Genomic DNA, 20673 nt, shown 5'->3' on the forward strand with positions numbered 1-20673 from the left:
TAATTCCCAGTCTCCTCTACACCAGGAGTGCAGAACAGAGTAAGCATTGGGCTTGCAGTGATTCCTGTAGGCCTCACAGGGGCCCCCAGGATGGGCCACACCTCAGGAGCTGATACAGTTTGGCTCTGTGTCCCCACCCAAATCTCATCTTGAATTGTACTCCCATAATTCCCATGTATTGTGGGAGAAACCTAGTGGGAGATAATTGAATCATGGGGGCAGTTTCCCCCATACTGTTCCATGGTAGTGAATAAATCTCATAAGATCTGATGGTTACATCAGGGGTTTCCGCTTTTGCATCTTCCTCATTCTCTCTTTGCCTGCTGCCATCCATGTAAGATGGGACTTGCCCTTCCTTGCCTTCCGCCATGATTGTGAGGCTTCCCCAGCCACGTGGAACTAACTGTAAGTCCAAGAAAACCTTTCTCTGCAAATTGCCCAGTCTCAGGTATGTCTCTATAAGCAGCATGAAAAGGGACTAATACAGGAGCCCTCTCACGGTGAGGCCTGACTCTGTAAACACAACTCCAGCTACCCCAAAGTGAACTGACCTTCAAGGATCTACAGCTGAGATAAAAAGGGCCAGTTTTGCTGCCCATGAAACACCAACAAGAGTCAGGAACATTCTAGAACTTTGAAGGGCCAGGTTTGCTGCCCATGAAACACCAACAAGAGGCAGGAACATTCCAGAATTTTGAAAAACCCAATCTTACCCATCTCTTTGCCAAGAACATTTTTTTTCAGCTTGACTTTGAACTCACTCAAGGTGGAGCAGTATGCGAAGAGGTTATGGTCACAGGATTTGAGACAGATCTGGATTTAAATCCTGGCATGGCCATGGACTGCTTGTGTGAACCTGGACAAATTATTTGCATTTCTTTTTTTTTTTTTTTTTTTTTCATTTATAAAGTAAGAATGCTACACCTCCCTCCCAGGGTTTTTGTGAAGAATAAATGATCAAATTACAACTTACCTAAGAGAGTGCCTGACACATAGTAAGGACATAATAGTTGCTAGTTATTAACACTGTCCTTGTGATCTTAATATCTATTTTATATTATAATTTCACTGTATTAGTAGTATAATCTATCAATAAGGTAGAAGTCTACTGTGCACAGCTTCTTCTGGCATCACAAGAACTCATGGACCCACATGATGTGGTAGGTATTTCTTAAAGCTCTGACTGAGATTCACTTGCATTAGAGTTAGTATAGGAAAATTGAAGAAGGTTTCAATCTAGGTGTAAAAACTTCCTTGTCCAGATGGTTTTCCCTCTTCTTATTTAAAAAATGTAAAGAAACCAAGGTTCAGAGCTTAAATAATGAGAATGTACATGAATAAAACAAGACTTTTGTATTTCCTAATTGACTATACCCAGCCAGAGTAAAACAGGTGAGGCAGGAGTGGTTTAATTTCCTCAATTTCTATCCAGGTCAGGAAGAGAAATTGGAAAAGAACAGAAAGTATAACTCAGTTAAGCCACAATGGTAGGATGACAATTATTAAAGTTACCCTGCAGGACCCATATGTCATATCCTACATGGAAGAATCTGCTGTTTATGCTTCCTTTAAAAAGAAATTTAAAATAATCATTTATACGTGTATTTGAATCAACTGTAGCAGAAACTCCAGTTGTGCCAGGATGAGATTTTGGCCCAGCAAATCTACACAGAATGTTTTTTGTTTTTTAATTATAATGTACAATCTGTTCTGAGATGATTTCCATCTAGACGCAGGTGTCAGATGAGATGACAAGGTAGTGGCTGATACTGATCTTCCCACACACCACAAATTTATGAGCTTAACAATCACATTTACAGTTAAACTACATATGGACATCTGTTATCCCTTTCTTCTCACAGCCTCTTTAATTAATCTGCCTCCATTTTTGTCTGAGATAGCTGATGTTGAGAGAAAGAAAGAGAGCTACAGAAGGAATACTAGTTTGTATTTCCTGCATTGGGGAACTGAGGAAGGGTGTCAGGAAGGTGACTGTCAAACGCATGTGCACAAAAGGGCTGGTGTTCTTGTTGGTTTTTCTTATGTGCTTCACACACAGTAGGATCCTTGATACATACTGTCAGACTAAGTAAATGAAGTCCTGATTATTTTCTCAGAAGACCCTGTATAGGGACAGAGAAAGAGATTTTAGCCTATATCCTGGACTGAGGCTTTTCCAAGCAGATGTGGGAAAAGGATAGGCAGGCCCAAAGGATCAACTGCTGGCTGTGGTCACAAGAGGGCAGACCTACCAGGAAAACCTAGAGGCATAAAGAGGATGTAATGAAATCCAATGGAAGTACCAGGAGAATGAGCAACCAAGAGTGCTAGGAAGACAAGATTTGAGTTGGGTTTTCAACACCTAATGAGGTAGAGGCCACCCAGTACATAGCAAAGGAACCATGACATAGGGCTGGACCAGTTGTCCACACGGCCGCTGAGGTCAGCACAGATGAAGGTAAGACTCAATGTGGAGAGGAAGACACTGGTAACATGGAGAAATGAATGGTCAGCCACTATATGACAGTGGCAAAGCAAGGGTGTATATTGTATCATGGGATGATATAAGCCTCAGCTAAGGAAAGGTGTTATAGGAGGGAAGAAAAATAATAGCTCTGAAGCAGACCTGGGGAGCTAAATTCTGAGCTCTACCTTCAAAATCTATAGTCCCTGGAAAGGAAGAATTATCCATTACAGGGAAGAAATAGGAGAGGGATCCTCAGGGGAGAACCAATAGGACAAAGGAACATTCAGTGAATACCTTAAGGATGTTTGAACATTTAGCATAGAAGGAGGTTCAGGAAAGCCCCTGAACCCTCCTAAAAGGTCCAAGATGGGATGTCAGGGAGGCATAAAGCAGTGTTCATGAAACAGGACTGACAGTAATGGGCTTTATGTATTGAGTGTTGACATAGAGTGACAAAGAGGCCCAAATTACAATAGGACCAGTGGCCTCAAGTTCCCAAACATTGGAACTGTAGAATCTGAGTGTGGTAATGGATGACTTGGCACAATGGTACCCAGAGCTGGGTAGGGAGAAGAGGGGATGTGTTCTCTGGGATTTCTGTGCTCAGCCAATTTCAGCAGACCCTACCTCAAAACTTGCCCTGATCCCTAGTGGTTAGGAGAACAATCTGGGAACATCCCATCCCTGAACAAAGAATAAGCTCCATAAGAACAGCCTCCATCCCAGGGCATGGCGTAAAAGGATGTAAAGAGAGAACAGCTCAGCCTCCATCACACCAACATCAGACATGCTCATTCCACTGCCTGGGCATTCACAAGCTTATTCAAAAGCTCCTTGGTCTGCAGCAAAAGTGACAATTCAGTCTCCACCTCCTCAGCATAACTGGGTCCTACTGAAATTGCACTTCTTCTAGCTATGACTGCTTCAAGCTACTGGGAAGCACCAGGAAAATGCAACCTTCGGATGCACTGATTTTTATCTTCTCTTCCACAAGACCTCTTTCCTCTTTTAAAGTAGTCTAGAGCAAAATTTTCTTCTTTACAGGTAAGAGGAAAAAAATAAGAAGACTATGAATGCCTGGTCCATGGGCAGGGAGAGCAAACAGCAGAAAGAGCACAGCATATCCTTTAGGCCTGGGGCTCAGTCTCCGGGAACGTGCTCATGCCCCAGGACAACTGCACACAGAGTACTTTCAGTCTCCCACTAAGCACCACTGTCCAGAACCTAACCCAATCAACCTTACTAGAAAGCCACAGGCCTGCCCGAGTCCACTCAGCTCCAGCAACACCTTTACTTACAAAATCAGTAAAATGGAACCATATGAAATTGCTGGTAGTTCTACCAATTTTGAACCATAAAAAAACAAATTTCATGTGGCTCACCCTCATACCGGTTGAGTATCCCAAAACCAAAAATACAAAATCTAAAATGCTCCAAAGCCTGCAAACTTTTTGAGCACTGACATTCCTACCAAAGGAAATGATCATTGGAGCATTTCAGACTTCAGATTTTCAGAGCTGGGATGCTCAACTGGTAAGTATAATGCAAATATCCCAAAATCCAAAAAAAAAAAAAAAAACTCCTTGAAATAAAAAAATAAAACAAAATAAAATAAAATAAAATAATAAAAAACCACTTTTGGTCCCAAGCATTTTGGATAAGGGAGACTCACTCAACCTGTATAATCTAGGATAATAATCCATATTCTGTCCCTATATCAACAGTAAATTGTTTATGAAGCCATAGATAGTAAAAATTAAACATGCTAATTCTGTCTTCAGCCACCAAGGCAACCATGTCCCAGGAAGTAACACAGGGAAAATATGTTCTTATTAACATCTTATTTTTTTCTTATTAACACCTTATTTTTCTGTTAACTTGCTACAGCAAAATAAATTGACCTGGACTTGACAAAACTGCTGCTTCTACTTCATTACACCAAAATACAAATGTTTACAGGGTCTCTCCTCAATGCCAATCTAACCCCACATATACAGAAGAGCAAGCACTACTTTTGATAAGCCATCCATCTGCTCAATAACCTACAGTAGCTCCTTATTAGCCTCCTTGAGTTCCAAACCCAAATTCCTCTGCTTGACACATAAGGCCCTTCACAATTCCAACCCACTCCACCTCCACTCCCCCACCAATCCAAGCCTCACCATCTTGTAAAGCCTAAGACCCATCTCTACTCCCAAACCTTCTCTGTCCTCGTAAGTTCGCAGTGATAGCTCCCTCCCCTGAAGACCTGCTCATTCATTAAAGCAAAATTTAGCACAAATGCCTGAGACCAATACCTAGCACAGAATGTGGAACATATGGTTTTGCCTGCTGCACATCTCAGCTAATTGTTACTTCATCTTAGTAGGTGTAAACATTCTCCCTCTCAACTAAACTGTAAGCTCTCCAAAAGCAGAGACCAGGGTTTATGCAAACCCCCCAACTCTGCCCCAGTACAGAGAGCAAGCACACAAGATTTGGAGAACAAATTCCCAACCCTAACATCAAACACAAATATCTAGCTTCAGTCTTCCAGCTCTCACTGTAAATAACTGAGCATTGCTAATTGCAGCTCCAGCAAACATCACACAAAAGACCTCCTGAATACATTAGATAAGTGAGGTGAAAAGAAAATATAATCACAAACATCCATCTGCGACAGGAAATTTGACAAAGTAGCATTTCTGAAGAACAACTCATAGAGGTAGGGGACAGCAGTACGTTGCTTCAGGTTGAGAAAGCTTTGTTTTAGCGCAAAGAACACTGACCATGGGTCAGAGGACTTCTGCCAAGCTGTTATTAGCTGTGTGACCATGGGAACATTAATTAATCCCTATGAACCTCAGTTTCACCACCTGCCAAATGGCATTAATGTCTTACTTATTGCTGAGGATGTCCAGTGCATTGCTCTGCCTAGAGTGAGCACTCAACTTGTGCTTATTTTTCACATGTTCATAAAGAAAATAAGTCCTGTAACCTTGAGTTTCCTCCAAGTACATGTACATCTCAAGGCCAAAGAGAATATGATGCTAAATGTGACCCAGCAGGATGCATTTGTCATTCACACAGTGATTGAAATAAAAAACCAGTAGGGACGGGATCATAAAAGAAACACTCCAGCAAACCTAAGCAAACAGGTCTGCTGGGGAGATAAACGGAATTTCTGCTCATCGACCCTAGGATGCTCTGATTCTGGGGTGAGCCAATAAACTCAGTAACTGCACCGGCATGGCATGCCGTTATTGCCTCTAATAGGTTTGATGCTCAGAAAGTGGGTCTCTTATCTGCTGCCACAATTCAGATAAAGTAACATAACCTGATTCCACGATGATCAGCTCTCCACCTTATTAGGCTGGAAAGGCTACCAGAGTGACTGTAAGTCACATTAACCAAGTTTCCTGTCTAATTTACTTATAATTACTTTTCTCTGTTATAAGATTAGCTGCTAATCAAGTTTAGCATCAAGAAAAAAATAAAAGATTTCTCTTTTATATTGTCTTTTTAAATCACAATTAAAGAGATTTTACCTTTTCCAAGTCATTTTAAAATAACTCACGTGTCTAATTAAAATGCAAAGAAACCTATGTCTGTGGTCAGTATTAACGTCAGAATTTTCATCTTGGCTCCTAGAAAGCTATAATAACACAAGAAAAATAATGACAGATAATCAAAATTGCTATAGGACTCAAGTAATACATACTTTCTCTATAAACATTTACAAATTATGTGTACTCAACAAAATGAATTCGGTGTTTTAAACTATCTGGTCATATTCAATACAACAAAAAGATGACTAAAAAAGAAAGGTCAATGCATCTAACACCACATTATTAACCCCCTCCTCCTAGCAGAAAGGTGCCCCTGAAAATATTTTCCTTTTTATCAACTTTTTATTTCTTTGTGGTTTCAGCAGATTAATCACTTGTGGCCTCAGTATGCAGTGCTGAGAGAGTATTCATGTCTATTCTTCTGTGGAAGATAGAGAAAGACTGGCTGAAATAATTTTACTTTTCACTGCATAATCATTTGTCCTGGGCATTTTCCAGGGGCTGTTTGGGAATAAACTCATTTTGCTCATATGCAGAGATGAGGCAGGAGAAACATTTGTGAACTTACATTTGATTATGCCAACACCCCAAGGAAGGTTTTGTAAACGAATAAAAAATTGGAATGAAGCCTCTCTCACTAAGCCTCAAAAATGCTACTGTTTCGTAACTCAGAAGCCTGGCCAATGTCTATATTGATCAGAGCTGTAGAAATTAATAAGAGCAAGGTAATAAAATGAAACTGCCATGCTGTTTATTGGCTGTCATCACTGATGACACTCCAATCTCTAATTAACATCCTCACTACCTATCCTCTTTATTACCAACATGACATTGACTGAGACATCAGAAACAAAGTAATTAAAGAGACTTTTTCCTGCTCTTATCTCAGAAGTGCCTCTGTCCAGGGTTGGCTTTTATCTGCTGACTTACCCATGACAATTTCCCTTAGTGCCTCCCAGCATACTGGCTCAGAACTCTGTATGGTCTCTGACTGAGAGATATTGGCCAGGCCTTGTTCTAACCCACCTAACAGATGCCTGATACTTTTTTCTAAGCTACTCGCAAATTTAAAGATGGGATTGACTGCTCCATCTCATGATAACTTTGGAGTTATCATGAGTTTTACGTACTGCATCAGTTGTTTACAAGAGTGTTTTTAAGTGGACATTCCTTTTCTCACTTTTAAAGCTTATCCCTGACCACACGATAATCCTCATCCCTCATCCCTCAGTTTTCCTACTTACCCTTGTCTAGTATATGCCACCCATCTCATCATTGTATCACAGTTCACACTTCCTCCACTGCTGGCTTTATTATGTCTGAAAAACCCTCATGCTTCATGCAAACCAGAGAGCATTTTCCTCTCTTTCCAGAGATCCCAGGACATTGGGTTATACCCTACAGACACCCCATGACAACAAAGAGGACTAACAGACAAGGTCTGAGTTTTTCCCTGCTGTCACTGACGTGTCTCCTTAGAGGATCCTGCTGAAGTGGTTAAACTGGAAGTCCCATTTCCAATTTACTATGTGCTACAGAGCAGAGCTTCTCAAATGTTCATGTGCACACAAATCACTTGTAAGTCCTGTTGAAGTGCGGGTCCTGATTCAGACAGTCTGGGTGGGGCCTGACAGTCTGTATTTCTAACCAGGTCCCAGATGATGCTGATGCTGATGCTGTTGGGCCCTGGATGCACTCTGAGCACCAAAGATATACAGTGAAATTCCAGAGTATCCTTTTGGGAGTGCAAGTTGCCTATAAGTAGTTATTTTCATAAAGTTAATAAGTAATTTGTGATATGTTATAAAAACATGGCATCAGTGCAGTGAAACACAAAGTCCAGCCACGGTTCCTTTGACAAAAGATTTTCTGTACAGTATATAGAAGTGGCAAAGGAAATGATCTAGAATTTGCCCACTGTTAGAGAGGGGAAAAACCTTTTTTCCTCTACTCTTTAGGTTAAATGATTGGGGTCCTGCAAAATAAATTGACAAAAGACAGATTGACAGGAGAAAAATGTTTCTTTCATATGCATATAAGGGCCTCACAGAAATGAAGTGAAAATCCCAAAAAGGTAGTCAGACTCAGAGACTTATATACCATTTTAACAAAGAATGATAAACTTGTAGAAGTAATAAAACAAAGGGAAAAGGTTTGAGCTTATATGGGGGAAAAAAGGTATATATATATATTTCTCATATATATATATTTCTCATATATGTATATATATGAGAAACTAGTGGAAGATAAAGATTATTTTAGTAAGGTTTGTTATGCATATTCCTCTCAGAGCCATCTCTGGGCTGATATGAGTCTAGAGTCCTCTCTGGTGATTAACGGTTGTTCAGCCCTTCCTGTTACAAGGCAAGTGAAAGGAACAACTTCACAAAGGGAAATTTATGTCCGCTTTTACATAAATAGGGGGAGGATAGAGATCTTTTCTTGCATCTGCTGTTCCTCAAATACCTTCAGCTTAAAATAATTCTTGTGACAAAGTGTCATATTTGGGGGTAGCATATTTTGATCCCCTTTACGACCCAAAGTGGACCAGCAGCATCAGTATCACCTGGGAGCATCTTAGAAATGCAGAATTTCAGGCCCCACCCCCAATTTACAAAAACAGATTCTGCATTTTAACAAGACCCTCAGGTGGTGTGATGCACGTTTGCTTGAAATGCACTGCCATAGAATATCTCTTGCTTTGCCAAAGTGGTTAGTGAAACCAAAATATGCAGCCCTCAGTGGGGGTGAGGGGATCATAAAGCCCTTGGACTTGTATGTATCTATTTCATTAGCCCTTAAAGTATGGCAGCATGACCCAACTAAACCCAAACTGAGACCCAGGATCACATTCAGCTCAGCAGTGGGTTTATTTTTCCAAGATCTGTTTATCTGTACAAGTTGCCAAATAGGCAGACAAGGGTGTGGGTGAATGGGGAAGGAGGTGTTTTGTGCACAGGCATTTGCAGCTCCCAAGGAGGAGATAACAGGCCTGGGGAGCAATGAGAAAGAGGGGACAGTATGGCCTCTCCCCCTGTGCTCCCAATCCCAGAACAGCTGGTTTAAGTGTTGTTGGAACACAGGGTTGAGTGAGAATGCTGAAGGAGCTGTGTTTCAAAGACTGTGTGAAGCTCTGGGACCCAGGTGACAAGGCACAGCAGAGTGAGAGGAGGACCAGCCACCTGCCTTCCCCAGAACAGGCCCCAGGACCCAGGGCAGCCTCAGCAGAGGAGGTTGATGAGGGGCCTTGGGGAGACAGCAACAGCAGGAGGGCCGCAGGGGCAGGGAACAGGAGGAAGGATTCAGAACAGGAGCCACAGTGCACATGAGCACAGATAACATCCTGCCCTGGGGACTCTGAGGACACTGGCGGAGGGCACACCAGGCATTAATATTAACATGGCCTCATTTGCTCCCAGGGTCCGTGAGGCCTCGGACCTGCCAGCGACCATAACACTAACCTTTCTCTCTAACCACCTGACCACTTTTCCTCCAGGTGAACCCTTCTGCTTTCCAGTCATTTTGTCACATTGTGCCTTTGGGCTTTTCTTTTCTTCCATAAATTCTGAAGCAGGTTGACCCTCTTTCCTTTTCCAACAGGATTCTCTTCACACGCAGCTCTTTGTGCCAATGCATGGGGAGCCTCTCCAGATGCTGCCACCCTGTCCCTGCGTTGTCTTTCTCTGAGACATCCGATGCTGGTTGGCTTTGACCAGACCTCCCCCTGGGGACAGCTTCTCTTTCAGTCTCACCCTAGGTTTCATGTTTCCTCCCAACTCTCCCAACTCACCCATGATCACATCCCTGGGGCTTCATCGCTCACTCAGTAAAATCCCAAGAGGGCATGGCTCCCAGGCCAGGCTGCTGTTTCCTACGGCCTGAATATTTAATCCCAATTGTCTGTTGCGGTGAGGAGATTCATAGTAACCTTGATTGGGGCTGAGTTTCGCTTTTCTCAGTGCTATATACAGGGCGGCTCTTCGGATGTGCTCATTTGGAAGGGGAGCCTTCAAGTACTCTGGGGCTACTTTCCCTTCAGCTGACTGGATGCTCACAAGACTTCATAGTTTCCTTTCCCTCCTTGGTTATCAAACCCTAGGGGCCCTCCCCGCCCCACTAATGTCCACTGACCTGTGTCATGCAATACTTTAAAACACACTAGGCTAGACAGACCCTCACCACATTCCATTCCTACTGGTGAGGTTGCAGAAATCATTCTAAAAGCATACTCCATCTCCTTTTTTCTAGAGATGAAGCAGATCGATCTCATTTCTACATCTTCATGCTTTGGCTTCAATGGATCTTAGATAGGTGTAAGGATACTTGGAATATCTAAACCATCTGTCAGTGCCTGGATCTGAAGACTCTCACACCTCGTTTACCAGATGAGGGGTCAGTCTAATAAATGAGATCTGAGGTGGAAACTTCCACGATCCATTCATCTACAGGAACGAGGAGGCAAACAGCCTGCAGATTCTTCAGAAAGTGGTTTTTAAATGATTTTGACTTCTTGATAAGACAACCTCCATGTCCAACACATAATTAAATGGCAAGCCAGTAAAATAATTTGAAAAGAAATGTTTTTTAAAATATATAGCCTTCATTCATATTCAGGAGAGATGATACAGTTGCAAAACACTGGAGCTGTTTATGTAAAATAATAATAAGGGAATAGTATGATTAATTTTATGCCATCAAAGGAGACAACTTAAATGAAATGGATGGATCCCATGAAAGACACATTACCCAAGTTTCTCAAGAAGAAATAAATTTCTTTTACTTCTTAATTTAATTATTTTAACGTTTAATTCTTCTTTGTTTCTTTTCATTTACTTATTTGAGACAGAGTCTTGATCTGTCACTCAGGCTGAAGTGCAGTGGCGCAATCTTGGCTCACTGCAACCTCTGCTTCCCGGGTTCAAGCGACTCTCCTGCCTCACCCTCCCGAGTAGCTAGGATTACAGGCATGTACTACCACGCCCAGTTAATTTTTTGTATTTTTAGTCAAGACAGGGTTCTGCTGTGTTGGCCAGCCTGGTCTCAAACTCCTGTCCTCAAGTGATCCACCCACCTGGGCCTCCCAAAGCGCTGGGATTACAGGCATGAGCCACCACACCCGGCCTTCTTAAGTTCTTTTCAATTTATTTCTCAAGAAGAAATAAATAAGCTAAATAGCTCCACTGTGCTGTTTATTGGAGGTTTACATCCACCAGACTAAGAAAGGACTTTCCATAAATAGTTAAGACATGATCATTTATACGATGATTAGACTTGCTGGTAAAAATTCTCACAAACTGCTTGTGTTGAAATATGCATCTTTTGTAAACAAAAGTAACACCACAGATCCAATCTAAAGAGGACATGTGTGTGGGATGCAAAAGCTGTGTGGGCGCAGATCTTTGCATTTTAGAACTGCAAGGATAGTAGCCCAGTTTCCGCAACTGTAAGATATAACTGTAGGCCAGAGAAGGTAAGTAACTAGCCCAAGGCCACACAGCTAGTTAGTAAGAACTGAAACAGACCTTCCGCAGATCGTGAATGTTTTTGAACAATGACATGGACAGATTTAGAGGTGTCATTTATAACATGGAATGTTAAACTCATGGAGTCATCCAGAGAAAACAGAGCAGCACTCAGAGGCGTCAACAGGCACCAACACTGAAGCAAAGCAGCCTCAGCTTAGTTCTGCCCTAGTTGTTAAGCCAGCCAACATCCAACTGGGCAAAATTAAGTCACACAGTGTTCCTGCAGCTGGCAATAAACAGATGAGCTTTTCCCTGATATCCCTGTAGACGGGATGATCTAAAAAAAAAAAAAAAAAAAAAAACTCCCCGAAGTGTATTAAGATTCCAAACGAAGAAGAGTGATGTTTGGGTAAAGCACATTAAAGTGAAAACTTTTCTTCTTTTTGGGAATTCAGACTGGGTTTGGTTTTCCCCTAATTCAAAAGAAGAGAAGGCATGGTACCAACACCCTGATGAAGCCAGGCATCCAATCGGACCCACAAAGCTTCAGCAGTGGCCCTAATACCCACCCTGAGTACAACACATCTCTGCTGGTGGAGCACCAAGCAGTCCTCACTGCTGTGGGAATCTGCATGGCCCCCACTAGCCCGTCCTCCCAGGATAGCTGTAAAGATTGTAATGAGATGACAGGCATAAGGTTGCCCACATATGGTCAGCACTCAGATTAAACCAGATTGACAGTGGTGGCACTAAAGCAGAACTGCTTCTCTGCTGAGAAGCCAACCTCCTGGGCAGAAACTGACACAGTTCCCTCTAACAGCCCAACTGCTGCATCTAAGCCTTTTGAAAGCATCAGACACAAATGTTTCAACACAGACTGTTGCCTTCAGAGGCTTTATAAGGATAAACCTTAGCAGCTTTTAGCTTCTGCAGGAGTTGTGGTTAAGCTTCTTTGGGATTTCTTATGATGTTATATCATGGCATTTGCCAAATATATACAATTTGTTGGGATGGAGTCTACTAAATAAATGGGCCTTGCGTGGCAAGATTCTAAACACAGAGCCCTAGTGCCAGGTATGTGGTAGGCTGGCAATGAACAGGTGTTGCACGGAAGAACCCAATAAATCCACAGTAGTGTTCAATGAAAACAGACTATTGGTTGGGTCATCAGAATGCGCTGGGTGATCATCCAAGCATGCAGTCAGGATTTTTCATCTATTTCTGCCCCCAAATTTATCTAAAGCTACACAGCTGTCAACATTCTGTAGGGCCAGCACACTGTCATGGATTCCATTGGTACCCACCCAGATTCCTTTACCAGGGCTGCCCCTCTCCTCCAGCTCTTACACGTGTTGGCAGCTGATCGCTGCCCAAGTCTCCCAAGAGTTACTTTGGCTGACTGGAGCCACTTTACCCAGGAGGTCACACATCCAACTCTGCCTTCACAAGGACAGCCCATAATCAATGACTGATGGACAGGGGTGTGGGGAGGGGTACCAAAGACCCAGCCTTTACCCCATGGTGGGACAATCCATGGTACAATGCATGTTCCAGAGCTTCTCATGGCTGGGGCTGAGATGTGACTCCAGCTGAGACCACTTCCTTGCTTGGCCGCACTCCCCACCCACCTGACTCCCTTCTCCTGAGAGCTGTCCCGGAATAATTACATGCACAAGAATCCACATCTCAGGTTCTGCTTCTAGGGAAACCAGACCCTCACCATTGCCCAAAATTATGAAAGGTCTTTATATTTTACAGTAAGAATGAGCACTGATGGTTTTGTGGAATTTTTAGAATTCATAAGTAGAAGACATTCCTTCTCTCCTGTTTCATTAAAAACAAAAGGCATATAATTACCCAGAGGTGGCTGGAGTGTCTTGAAACTATTTCCCTCATGAACATCCTTCCTGCCTTTGTTCAGGTCTGTGATGGATCTAATATCATTACTCCAAGAGGCCTTACCTGAAAGACCCTCAAATTGCTCCATCCCCCTCCCTCACCAGTCTGGTTTCTTTCTGCATAGCACATATCACCATTGATATGACAATTTACTTGAAGCTTTAACCTGTTTCCCCAACTCTCTAGAGCTCTGCAATGCTTAATACCATAACCACTAGACACATACGGCTATTTTCCATTTAAATTTAAATTAATTAAAAGTATTGAGCCTACCACAGTGGCATGTAGCAGACAACAAATATATGTGAGCCAATGAACAAATAGTTCATGGTAATCATCAGTGATGTCCCTGGTATCTAATTTTGTAGCTTTTATACTAAAAATTGATATTGTCAAGGGTAGGAAAAGAACTGTAAGAACATTTAAGAAAAACTTCTTAAGAAGCTATGAAAGGATATGACTATTACTGGCTGAATTTTTAGTGGATGGTAGTTAATTGTAGGTTAAAAAAACACAATGCCAACCTCCAGATGGAGACAGCTAGCTAGCCAGAAACTGCTGAGAGTTTTTTGACAGTTATTCAAGGCAGCATAGAAAATATAAAACTTTCCTTTTTTTCCCCTCTGAGATGGGCAGATATTTAAAGTCCCACTCCCTCCTCCCAATAGAATAAAAATCCAACATGTATGTTTTTTCTTTGATTGTTAACATGCTCACTTAAGACTAAAAGCCCACACATCGCGTTTGTGGCCAGGTGAACATGTTGGAAGCAAAATACAAAGACCCCAGTCTGTCTCCTTACCTAGCCCTCTGCACCTCAACACTAACACCACTTTCCTTTCTAAGGAAACAGCTTAATAAAGACATCACTTTGTACTCACGATGAAAAAAGAGCAAGAAAGGAAACATAAAGAGAACCAAGAAGCCTCTGCCGTTTTTGCCTTGTAATGCAGACAAAGCAATTGGAAAAAAGCAAGTAACTAACAAGCATTCCTGAGAACACAGGAATTCCAGAGGTCTTTCAGTTGATTCTCAGATGCTTTATTTTATTTTATTTATTTATTTATTTTGAGATAGGGTCTTCTGCCTAGACTGGAGTACAGTGGTGCCATCATGGCTCACTGCAGCTTCAAACTCTCCAGCTCAAGCAATTCTCCCACCTCTGCCTCCCAAGTGGCTGACACTACAGGCATGAGCCACCACACTCAGCTAATTTTTGTTGTTATTGTTGTTGTTAAAGAAATAGGGTCTCACTATGTTGCCCAGGGTGGTCTCAAGCTCCTGGGCTCAAGTGACCTCTCGCGCCTCGGCCTCCCAAATTGCTGGGATTATAGGTGTGAGTCACGATGCCCAGCCTGTTCCCCACTTCTTAATATGAGTATGTATTCCTGTCTTTCATTCATGTTACAGAATGTCTTTGGAAAATATAATCTTCAAAACCAGTAAAACATCTTCAGTTATGCAGTCTTTGTAGAAAATGGTCAGTTCTTTGGATTCTAAGTTAATATTATCAATGGCATTAAAGAAAAAGCACTAAAAGTTCCCAGCAGCCAATGCATGGCTTTTATGCTTATAGCAAACTTATATGCTAATACTAGGAGCTTCCTTATAAATCAGATGACTTGGAGATCTACAATCCTTGGACATCAGTTGACTCCAAGAAAAAGGAGCTTCAACCTAATGTATTTCATTTCTTTCTGTTTCTCTTTTCTTTTTAAATTAATAAGCCCACTGATTTTGGTTTTCTTAACTTGAACACAAGGTAAGACCCCTGTTAGGGACGTAGTCACCTTTTATTTTACATTAAACAGTCTGACCTGCCAGGCCTGTCTTTAACATTACTGAAGAGGTGGCATCCTCTGACATCATCTTTTCTTATCCAGACCGAAAACGTAAACACATTATTACTGACAAGTTTCAATCATCTAGGAGAAGACTTTGATTTGGTGCTAGTAGTGTCTAGGACCAGTCAGAGACACTTACAGGTAAGTTTTAAATGTGTGAGAGATTATATCTCAAAGAGAAAACCCACAATGAACCCAAGCTATTTGTTTTCATGGCTCCTGTAACTCTGCACATGTTCTGTGATGGAGAAAACCTATGATTGCTACCACATAGCCAACTCCTTCATGTATCTTTTCTCTCCATCTTTCCCTGTCTCCATGAACTTATTTCAATTCTAGGACATACCTATGTGTTTGTTCTGAGCCACCTGGAAAGGCAATTAGAGTACATGGACTCTCATGAAATAGTTTTTATATGTTTTTACTTCCAAATATAATTAGAAAGTAGTCAGCTATAAGGCAAAAAAAATCATTAATTACATATATTAACTATCTATGAATTTTCTATATGTATAGTGAAGCTTATATGTACATACAAGCTTTTGACATAACTGCAATAAATTGAAAAACACATGAAAAAATTTATACATTTATATGTCAACATATAGAAAATTGCTAGGAATAACTAACAAAAAATGTGTATGAGCAACATAAGGAAAACTACAAAACTGTGAGAGGAATTAGAAAAGCCGTTTAAATGACTGTCCATTCCAGAATGTAAAAGCCTAATAGACATATCAGTTCTTCCCATTTGTAATTTGTAGGTTTTGTGCAACTGAAACACTAATACAATTTTTGAGGGAGGACAGGAAGGAGATGAGTAGTGAGTAATGAAGATAGTAAAATATATTACAGAGCTACAATTACAATGTCTTGGTACTTGCACAAGAATTTAAGAAAAAAAACTATAGTTCCAAAATAGATACTACTTTATATGAGAATTTAACGTATAATGAAAGGTGATTACAAACTAGCCAGGAAGGTTAGAATGATTCTTATTCAATATTGGAACAACTGGTTAATAATTTGGAAATAAAATGAATTTAGATTCTTATTTTACAAATAATAACAAAATAACTTCCAGATGAATTAAAAACCATAGAGAAACATAAATTTTACTTTAATATTAATCAAACTACTGAAGAGGAGGGGAGTTTGGAAATGAGAAGCATTAAAGGAGGTCATGGGTAGCAGATCCCAAGAGTTCTTATGGACCAGTGTAGGATGGAGAAGTGGAGGATGGGCTGACATCAGTGGTGGCACCCAAAAAACGACAGTGTGACACTGTTTATCAGATAGATAGGTGCCCCAACTGATAAATATCAAAAAGCTCTAGGGCTACCACAATAAAAGACTCTTGCTTGTATGAATCCCAGTGTAAACCTAGCAGCTTTCTCCATCTCTGATCCTCCATTCAAAGCACATGGCCTCCAAGGTGGCCCCAGCAGCAGACGAGAAAGACAATAGTGGTATCCTGGCTTTCAACTGCCTGGAATGAGAAGTGACACATGGCACTTCCACCTACAGTCCAGTGGCCAGAGCTGGTCACATAACCCCAACCACCCCAAAAGATTCCTGGGTTGGTCTCTCTCAAAAGCACAGCCTAGGGCAAGGATATGGGTTGATTTGGGAGGTGATCTCAGACAGCACTAGAGGAGAGTGGAAAAGTGAAGTAGGACAGTGGCATGAAAGAGTAGGTTACTGCTATGGCCAACCTGGGCTCAGTTCTGCTGGGAACCTCTGGAGAGATTGAGTAGAACATGCCTCAGAGTTATCCTTCCAGAGGGGCAAGGAAACTGTGATATTCACCCATCCATTCCCTTCCATTGGTGGTTGAGGGCTGCTCCCAGGACATTAGCTGCCCAGCACTTCTGGGTGTGTGCACCAGATGGGGGCCAACCATGCCCCTGCAACCAAAGAAAGTCATCCAACAGTGTTGCAGTGGCTTGCAGTGGGAACCACCAGAACAGGAAAGATGTGTGCTCAGGGACCATGGACAGGGACTGATAGCATCTGCTAAAGAAGGGGAGCACATGGGTTATCTGGCAAGAACCACTGCCTCTGGCACAAATGGAGAGACCCAAGCTCCAGGGGACTTTGGTTGTAGCCCTCTGAAACCGAAACAACATCTGAACTAAAATGAATAACCAGCCTTGTCTAACCCATTCCTGGAAGAGACATTCCCAAAAAGTTATGGCTGTTATTGCTAGGAAATCTGCTGCTCCAACCAACCCTGAGACCCAAAGATACTTCCTGTAGGGTGCCTTGGACTAGCTTGTGGGTATGGAAACTGCTGTTAGGGGAAATGCCCTGCTAGTCTGGGGGGATTCTGGGATGAAAAAACATGGTGCCATCCTCAAGTGGCATGTGGTGTCTGGGGGTGACAGGTATGCCTTCGCTCACAGAACCTTTATCACAAGTTCCAGATAGACTCAGAGGCCCTCCAGGGGAGGCTACACATCTCCCTGGAGGGCCTCAGAGGCTCTGCTATGAAAACAATGCCTGAGACCAGGAGAGAGCATAAGTTTCTCAAGTGGGAACAGGAAAGTAAAAGCCACTTCTGGCAATCTGCTCATGTTGCTTCCCTCCATCAGTTGGTGCATTAGGTTAATTATTTATACAAAAAGTAAATACCAAGTTACATTTTAAAATATGTAATGCCAAAATTTTAATTAACATGAGATTTTACTCTAGAAACCACAGGGGTTTATTTTCGGTTTGTGAAATTTTTGTCTGTTTGTGTGGCTTTGTGTTCTCTGCCCTCCACTTCCCCAAAGTGCAGTGTTTCCATTTTACTTCTTATGTAATTACCTAGAGATCATTTAACCTCTACTCATTCCTCAAAGAATTTTCAGTATCTCCATCCAAAAACACAGAGTGGAAAGTTGATCGTTTGTGCTCTTAAAATAAAAACTGAAGGCAGAAAACTAATCTCACATTATATGGCATGACAGCTTCTAGCTCAGAACCATCCACAATTTTCTCAATTTTTTTCACCTCCTTTGAACATACAGAAAACAAAAAAAAAGTATGTGCTTAATCAGGTAATATTGCCAGAATCTGCTCCTACAGGACAGAAGCAGCAAGCACAATAGAAAAGCTAATAAAGCCATTCAAATCATCTTAATGAGCACTAATTAATGTCCCATAGAAGAAAAATAGACACTGCAAGATGTAGCAGTTTCTCAGAAACTGGTTCAGGAAAAGTCACATCAGTGAGAAAAGATGGGATGGTGAATACGGCAGAACACAGTTCTGGTCTTGAGCTCTTCTGTTCTTGCCATGGACATCTGACACCTGCGGTCCTCATCCTGGTCGGTGGTACCACCAACCACCCTCGACCTCCAAGACCAAGAGTCATCCCTGACTCCTCTTCCCTTCCATCCCCTCCCACATCGCAGTCAACCTCAAAGTCCTGTGGATTCCAGCTCCTGCGTGTCTCTCAAATCCATGCTTCCTCTCTCCCATTACCTTAACTACATCTGAGCACCTGCCCTCATCACATCTTAGCTCAGCTACCTGCAAGCCTCCCCAGATTCTGCTGTCTCAGCCTTCCTCTCTCCCCCTCAGCCACCCCATACACCCTGGGAAAAGTGATGTCTCTGAACCATAAAGCTGGTCATCTATGTCCCCTTCATTAAACACTCCAGTAGTTTTCCAGCTGTTTCTCAAATTCCAGGAGATCCTCAAACCTATCTTAGGAGGGTCCATGAGTTCTCAAAATTGTGTTTTGTTTAACTTTCTGTTTTCACTTTCATGATCACCTTTTTTTAAGAATCAATAGAAACATATTCTGGATCATCTGAATGGCCATGTTATGACTAAGTGCTACCACATAATTTCACCATATATACTCTTGCATTTATACTGTAGTTGATGCTATGGTCTGAATATCCCGGAAAATTCATATGTTAAAACTTAGTCCCCATTGTGGTGATATTGAAGGGTGGGGGCTTTGGGGAAGTGATTAAGTCACGAGGGCTCTACCTTAAAGAATGGATGAGTGACTGACAAAAGGGCTGAAAAGAAATAGCTTAGGCCCTTTGTTGGTTCCTGTTCCTTCCACTGTGTGAAGACACAAGGTCCATCCCCTTTGGAGTGTGTAGCAACAAGCAGAGAATAAGCCTTCACCACACATTAAGCTTGCAGGTGCCCTAATCATGGCCTGCCAGTCTCCAGAACTGTTGGGAAAGAATCTCTGTTCTTTACAAATTACCCAGGCTCAGGTGTTTTCCTATGGCAGCACAAACAGACTGAGACAGTTGGCATCAAGAAACATTATTTTAATTATCACAGGCCAATGAGAAAATAACAAATCAGGTTTAGTGTATAGAAAGGAAACTGATGAGAAAATTGAGCCATCATAAAACCTTGTGGCATGGCACACTGCACACCAAATTCATAAGAACCTGAACAACAGCTGTTATAACCAGAAATAGGGATTTCATTTTAGCAAAAATAACTTCATCCAGAACATTAAATTCATGAGGTTAATCCAAATGTATTTGACTTGTAGCTGTGTTGATATTTTATTTATATATTTGTTTTGGTTATGTGGTCATATGAAAGCTCTAAGTATAAAGAGTTTAGACCCATGTAAAACTACTACATATCTGAACTGCACTATAATAAAAATAATTTAAGCAACACTAGGAATCTACAAGAATTTTTTTCCTTTAAAGGAATTCCCATATTACTCTTATTTGAGAAACTGTGGCCTCAGAATGAGGCTTAAGCTTCATAACAAGACATATGTGGGAGAGTTGATATTCTCTGACTTTTTCTTCCATCCCAGCCGCCATCCCCTATTTCCCAGCCCCCTGCGCCCACAATTAGTTCTGACCAATGGGCTGTGGACAAAAGCAACATTGCATTCATTCCAGACGAGCCAGAGAGACACTCTCCCTCTATCTCTTCCTGCACTGGTGACTACAGTGGCCACATTTTCCAGATGGCAAGGCTGAAAACTGGGAGAAGCTCTGTCTACTTGGCTATCAATTGACCTGTGAGGGACACACATTGTGTGTGAGAAGTAACCTTCGTTGAGTTAAACTACCAAGATGATGAAGTTGATTTGTTACTGCAGCAAAGCTTAGAAAACCCTCCTGACTAATACACTTCATGAACTGAGCTCTGCTCCCTGATCAAGTCCTCCCCATCACACTCCATGCTCCAAACAACTCTTAGTTCAGTGACCTGAACACACCAAGCTGTTTCATCATGGCAGCCTACTTTTGCACATGCTGTTCCTCAGTCTTAGAATACTATTCCACACACTCTTCTGCCCTCCTCCAATCCCAGACACAGTGATTTATCCATCAAAACCCAGTTCAGATTTAATTACCACCAGGAAGGGTTCCTCCCTTTCTTAACTCTCTTACCTGCCTCTCCATTACCCTAACGCCACAGAGTGCTCATCTCACCATATCATAATCGTACATTTCTATGTC

General features: G+C 41.8%; 1 protein-coding gene across 3 annotated transcripts in view; it reads right to left on the minus strand.

The window, feature by feature from the left end:
- Nucleotides 1-20673, minus strand: part of DCLK3 (doublecortin like kinase 3) — a 52133-nt gene that overhangs the window by 26824 nt on the left and 4636 nt on the right. The window contains exon 1 of one of the 3 annotated variants that reach the window (NM_033403.1): nucleotides 552-617. The exons of the other annotated variants lie outside the window; for them this stretch is intronic. The gene's annotated coding sequence lies outside the window, so the exon portion shown is untranslated. Of the gene's footprint in view, nucleotides 1-551; nucleotides 618-20673 lie in introns of those variants that run through there. 3 annotated transcript variants of the gene reach the window in all.

This window comes from Homo sapiens, chromosome 3, assembly GCF_000001405.40.
Source record: "Homo sapiens chromosome 3, GRCh38.p14 Primary Assembly".
Taxonomy (NCBI): domain Eukaryota; kingdom Metazoa; phylum Chordata; class Mammalia; order Primates; family Hominidae; genus Homo; species Homo sapiens.